This window comes from Homo sapiens, chromosome 8, assembly GCF_000001405.40.
Source record: "Homo sapiens chromosome 8, GRCh38.p14 Primary Assembly".
NCBI classification, from domain to species: Eukaryota; Metazoa; Chordata; class Mammalia; order Primates; family Hominidae; genus Homo; species Homo sapiens.
Window position 1 is genome coordinate 13,849,059 of NC_000008.11, and position 6,035 is coordinate 13,855,093.

General features: G+C 36.2%; 1 annotated feature.

The window, feature by feature from the left end:
* Positions 2,862 to 3,534: an enhancer, noted in NCBI's record as "OCT4-NANOG hESC enhancer chr8:13709429-13710101 (GRCh37/hg19 assembly coordinates)". NCBI's record gives its function as "activates a minimal SCP1, AML or CMV promoter by ChIP-STARR-seq in naive H9 embryonic stem cells {active_cell/tissue: H9 hESC(naive)}" and the evidence as "EXISTENCE:reporter gene assay evidence [ECO:0000049][PMID:30033119]".

The following is a 6,035-nucleotide window of genomic DNA, read 5'->3' on the forward strand; positions in this document are numbered from 1 at the left end:
TTACAAACTTCTGAAATGACATTGACCATGGCAGATACACATTCTATAATTGGGACGCTTTCGGTACAAGGAGAGGCAGTGTGATGTAGCAGAATGGGGCGTGGATTCTAGAACCTGTGTATCTTGGTTCACATTCCATCCTTACGTTTGGCTATGTTGCCTTGGGTGACTTGTTCAACCTCGTTATGCCTCATTTTCCTCATCTGTACAATGATCATAATAAGATTGTTGAAAAGATGGTGTCATTTTATATATAAAGCACTTAGAACAGGAACTGTAATACAGCAAGAAACCATACATCATGATCATGATCATGATCATCATCATCATCATCATCAGTTGCAGAACTTAAAATTTACCATTATCATCATTCCTAAGCAACTATAAGTAAAGCAGCAGAAGTCCTCAGTCTGAAGTTTAAACAAATAGTTTGTCTTGGTCATCTTGGTTATGACACTATAAGAAAAAATTAGACTGAGAATTGTTTAAAAACAATTTCCATTTTACTGTGCTTATGTTATAAGAAAGTATTGCTCATCAATTAATATGCTTTCACTTTATTGATTTTTTTTTTTTTTTTTTTTTTTTTACTATCCACATGTTCTAGTCATGCAGTCACAAGTCAGACCACCTCACACAGTGGTTGGCAGGTGCTGTACCCAATTGAATGCCATAACGCCTCAAGGTTTCAGGGAGACATTCTGTTGGTGACTTTGCTCAGGATGCATTTTTCACTATGTAGAGTTAACCTGCACAGTGATATTTACCTATTCACTGAGTTGTTATTTGATCTCTAGAGGCATTACGATACGGAAATGCTACAAGATATGATGTGAACCATTCTTGTATGCCAGAATGAAGAGAGATGGAAAACATGTTGGTAAATAAGACACCTCTGGTAGTTATATTAAAAAATAGGAGGTGGTATATGATTACATTGTAATGATTGGAAAGTGACAAACATGAGTAAAAGTGCTTTGGGAAGGTTTATGAGGGAATTGGGGATATGGACTGATTTCTGGAGAAAGAAGAAACTGTGGAGACGAGCTGTAGGGTGGACAGTGGGTTTGAGGGAATGAGGCAAGGCATTTTATGTGACTAATGAGTAAATTAGCCTTGGTAGGATTTGCAGTGAGAATCCTAGAAGAATGTTATCAGACTCAAAATAATAGGAGGGATTAAAATGGTTCTGTGATAGAAGTAAATCTGCCAAAATTCCTCCAGTCTTGGTCTCTTCAGTAAAATATCCCTGCATGCTCTTCCCCCTTCTCTCCTGAACCAGAATGAATTTTCTGAAATGTGAATGGAATTATAGTTGAACTACACTTCTCACCATTCTGGACCCTATTCCCACACTTCACCGCTAATCCTAGAGGATGAAGATCAGGGACGTTATTGACTTTGTTGATTTTGTATCCTCTGGGCACATAAGTGTGCCTGGTGCATAGCAGATCCCTGAAGATATTCTTAATGAAGTTGATGAGTAGAGACCAAAGTTTAAGAGAAAGAATTGGACATGGATGTAGCATGCAGCTAATGGGAGATATTTCATACTATAATCAGGATTGTGATGAGGTCAGATGTTCTTTTAACCTAATAAGTTTATGGTTATACAAACAAAAAATAAAAATAAACTACACCCACATAACAGTATGTCATTGACTTGAAGGGGCCATCAATTTATTTCCCTACTGGGAAGGATGCCTAATGTTTGTAGAGAAGGTTGAGAAAAATTGTACTGACACCCAACTGACACCCATAACAGTGGAATCTTCAGAGTTTTACATCCCATCCCAGTTTCCTCATTTGAGATACAAAATGCACTCCTCCCCTCTAAACTGCTACAAATGATTCTGACAGATAATAGTTGCTTGAGTTTGAGATCAGGATGTCAAAAGACAGGATAAAATAGAGCTTTCTGATTTCTGAGGTTAAGATGGCTAGAGAGGAGTAATGGTGATTCCCGCTTGCAGAGCTATTTCCGCTCATCAGGGGTTATTAGAGATACGTTCTCTTGGACTGATGAAAAGGCAGACGATGTATTTAATGGACAAAGTCCATTTTCTTAAACTTATATATTCTCTTTTAAAAAATCGGGCCTGAACACAACAATTAAATTACATACAACAACAGCAACAACATAAAAACACTTAGTCTTATTCCGTTTTAGCTTTTTATACTTCCAGTTTCTCCTGTTGTAAAATATCTGCCAGTACTGTTTATCTGACAATTTTTTTCCCCAGATATATTAATCATTGCTCACTTTTTCTTAAAAGAATGCTTCCAAATAATTAGGTATACAGCTTTTGCTTGGGCACATATCTATTGAGATTAACAATTCAGATTCAGAGCTTGTCTATAAAATTGTGATCAGAAAACATTAGAGAGATATTCAGAGCTCTGCTTCTTAGTAGTGAACTATTGAAATGTGTTTCAGAAAACTGTTCGGAGGCTGGCCACTGTGGCTCACGCCTGTAATCCTAGCACTTTGGGAGGCCGAGGCGGGCAGATCACGAGGCCAGGAGATCGAGACCATCCTGGCTAACACGGTGAAACCCCATCTCTACTAAAAATACAAAAATTTAGCCGGGTATGGTGGCAGGCACCAGTAGTCCCCGCTACTGGGGAGGCTGAGGCAGGAGAATGGCCTGAACCCAGGAGGCAGAGCTTGCAGTGAGCTGAGATCGTACTACTGCACTTCAGCCTGGGTGACAGAGCAAGACTCCGTCTGAAAAAAAAAAAAAAAAAGAAAAAAGAAAAGAAAAGGAAACTGTTCCTGAAATAGATTGTGAAGAAAAATGTCATATGTGTGGTATATAAACACATCCTGTATTGCAGAGAGTCTCTAGCCTTCCTGAGAAGTTCTGACCAGGTTTAGCAAGGTTAGAGTAGGGAAGTTAAACCACTACCTTGAAGACATAAGGAGAAAACAGAGCTGGGTTATCAGGAATGGGCATAAACACAAGAGATGAAGGGTTTAATTGAAAACAGAGCAGTAAATAGTAAGACAACTTAAAATTCTGGGAGATTTGCCAAAGTAGGTTAAGAAAAAAGAATAGGTTAACCTTTGTCCATTTTAATGTCTCTGTCCAAATTCCCTGCCTCTTCCAACAGATTAGAGTGCCAAGTAAAAATTAATGTATTGGGGTAGCTTGATTTACAGCTCATATATTAATTTCCTTTCCTATGGTATCCTTTCCCCTGAGGGAATTTTACTTTACCACCACAATGATGCTTTGTTTTTGCTAGCAGTTTCTTACTGACTCTCTTTTGTTTTTTTAATGAGCTCTACATTGTCCCAGATGGGGGCTGCTCCTTCAGCCTGCACCCCAGAATGACAGTGACAGTGGCTCCAACACAACTAGCAGCAAGCAGGTAGCATATGTAGCAATCACATGTATATTATTGTAAGTCGCTGAAATATTGGTGACCATTATTTCTACTTCATCATTAATGGCTGAACTAATTGTTTATGAGTAATAATGATGATAAAGAAGACATAAAATTGTACTCAGTTAAATATGGGAATAGACCTTTAATCTAAAATACAATTCAGGAACCTCATAATTATCTTTTTTAAAATTACTTGATGCTTATCTTTAGCTACATAGCTAAGAAATGGAATATATACATTTGCATATGAACAAGAAGATATTACACACTTCAGACTGAGTTCTCTGAGTAGATCCACAATTCTTACCTAATTTTTGATTTCTAACCAAATCATAATACATGTAATTTGAGATTTTAATGTTTTATGCTAAAGTGTTTACTTTTTTTGCTTGACCTGGTGGTTCATGCCTATCATCCCAGCATTTGGGGAGGTCGAGGTGGAAGGATTGCTTGAATTCAGGAATTCCAGAACAACCTGGGCAACAAAACTAGGCCCCTCTGCCATATGTATATATAATATATATATAAAAAATATATACATATATATTATAAAATATATATTATATATTATATAATGTATATTATATATATAATTTATATAATGTGTATAATATATATCTATATATAAAGATATATATCTTTATGTATTTTTAAGCTGAGGAAAAAATAAAGTTTTTACATATTTGATTTTTATGAAATCTTATAAAATTTCAGATAAACCTTTAATATTATAAGAGGCATTTTATTATATGTGCTTTAAATCTAATATACTTTGAATTTTAAAAATTGCCTTCTTCAGATTATTTTATGTATAAATTCCCAGAGAAAGTGTGTGTGTGTGAATAATACTTTGTTGACATACATAGCTCTTAGCATACTATCCATCCCGAATAAACAGTAAAGAATGATTAGCAATGCCATGCAAAATTGATTAACGTAAATCGTGCTTCATTCCATCCTATGATAGTGTTGTTTCGAAGGGTATTTTATGTTTACATGTTACTTTAACGCTTATTTATTAGAAAATTAGTACTATGTATCTTAATAATGCTATGTACTTGGGTAGTATGCAGAGGAGAGAACAGGCTGCTAATAATGATAGACCTGCCTTTCTTACCTTTTGGGAATCTAAAATATAACTTATATTATGGCCAAATATACTTCTTCCATGGTTGTATAAGCATGGATTTTTCTTAAGAATCCACAAAATATGGAGATGGAGAAAGTGGTTACTGACAGGGCTCCAAAGGACTCAGAAGCCATCATCTGTATGATAGAAACATATGTGAATCTGATCCAGCTTTAGAAAAAGCTTTGCAAAAAACTGTTATTACCAAAGGAAGGCCTGTACTATCACTAGTGACTTCATTATATGAGATCTTTCTGTCTAGAAAGATAGTGCTATACATATCACAAGTAAATTTCACCAGAGATGTTGGTATTATTGTTCTCTAGGTAGTAATAGAATATTTATCTCTCATTTAATATGAAACTAGCCACATATCTGTGAATAAAAATGCAGAAGTCTTTTTACGACCTTTTTTTTTTAACTGACATACTATAAGTGCATCCATTCCAGATTCACTTTAAAGTGTGTTATGTGTTTTAGGAAGACATCTCATATTAACAACTGTAATCTCAATATTGGAAGGACCATCCATAGTATCATTTCCCTTGTCCTAGATAGCGAAATTAATGCAATATTTAAAAGCAACATTTATTTACTCAACTGGCCTTGTCTGCTCAGTTTTAAAATCATAAGTGGCTCTTGAGCTTTTCTACCCACTGATTTTCAGTTCACCTGTCATTTTAACTGATAATCAAATCCTACATCTTTCCTTTGATGGTATTTATGTAATGGAAATCAACATAAAATAAGTTAAAAACAGCTTAGGAAAAGTAATGGGGCTCAGTGATAACTTATGAGGCAAATCCAACCCTCACTTAGAGGGTAAGGATATCTGGAGGAGATGTTTTCTTGCAATTAAAACACTATCCTCTATTTTCAACTTTGAGGAGAAAGTGGAGGAAAATAATCTTAAGCGGGCTCTCCATCATGCAGCCACTGAGGCAGGGAAGTGCCCTCATTCTTCACACTAAGATGCACTCTCATGAAAGGCTCTGAGTTATAAGTTTCCTGAAGTGTCTGTCTTATATACACCAAACCATTTCCTTGAAAACCTTTACCTCTGCTACTTAACTGAACCCAAGTCTGTCTCTCAGGACTCATCCCCAATTTGGTCAGTTCCCCATCAGTTCTATCATATAGGGTCCTCTTCTTTTATCACCACCATTGCACAGGTGTTTGAAAAGACAGCCAGTATTCTTCTTGCTCCCACTACACTTCCTTTTACACAACATTACCTGATCATCAACTCTACCCTACTTGTAGCCTGGAATTTCACACCCTTTTATTATCCTTTTTGCTATCTTTCAATCGCTAAGATACTCCTTTTCACAACAATGACAAATGCCCAGAATAGGTGCCACTACTTTCTCTTCCCTTTAGTCTCACCGATCACTTTCTTGTTGAGCCTGGCCCCAGCCTTAACATCATTCACCATACTGTGAGCGTTCCCAGCAACCACTATTAATTTTTATGAGTTCACTCCTAAAAATTTTTGGACCTGCTTAATACCGTC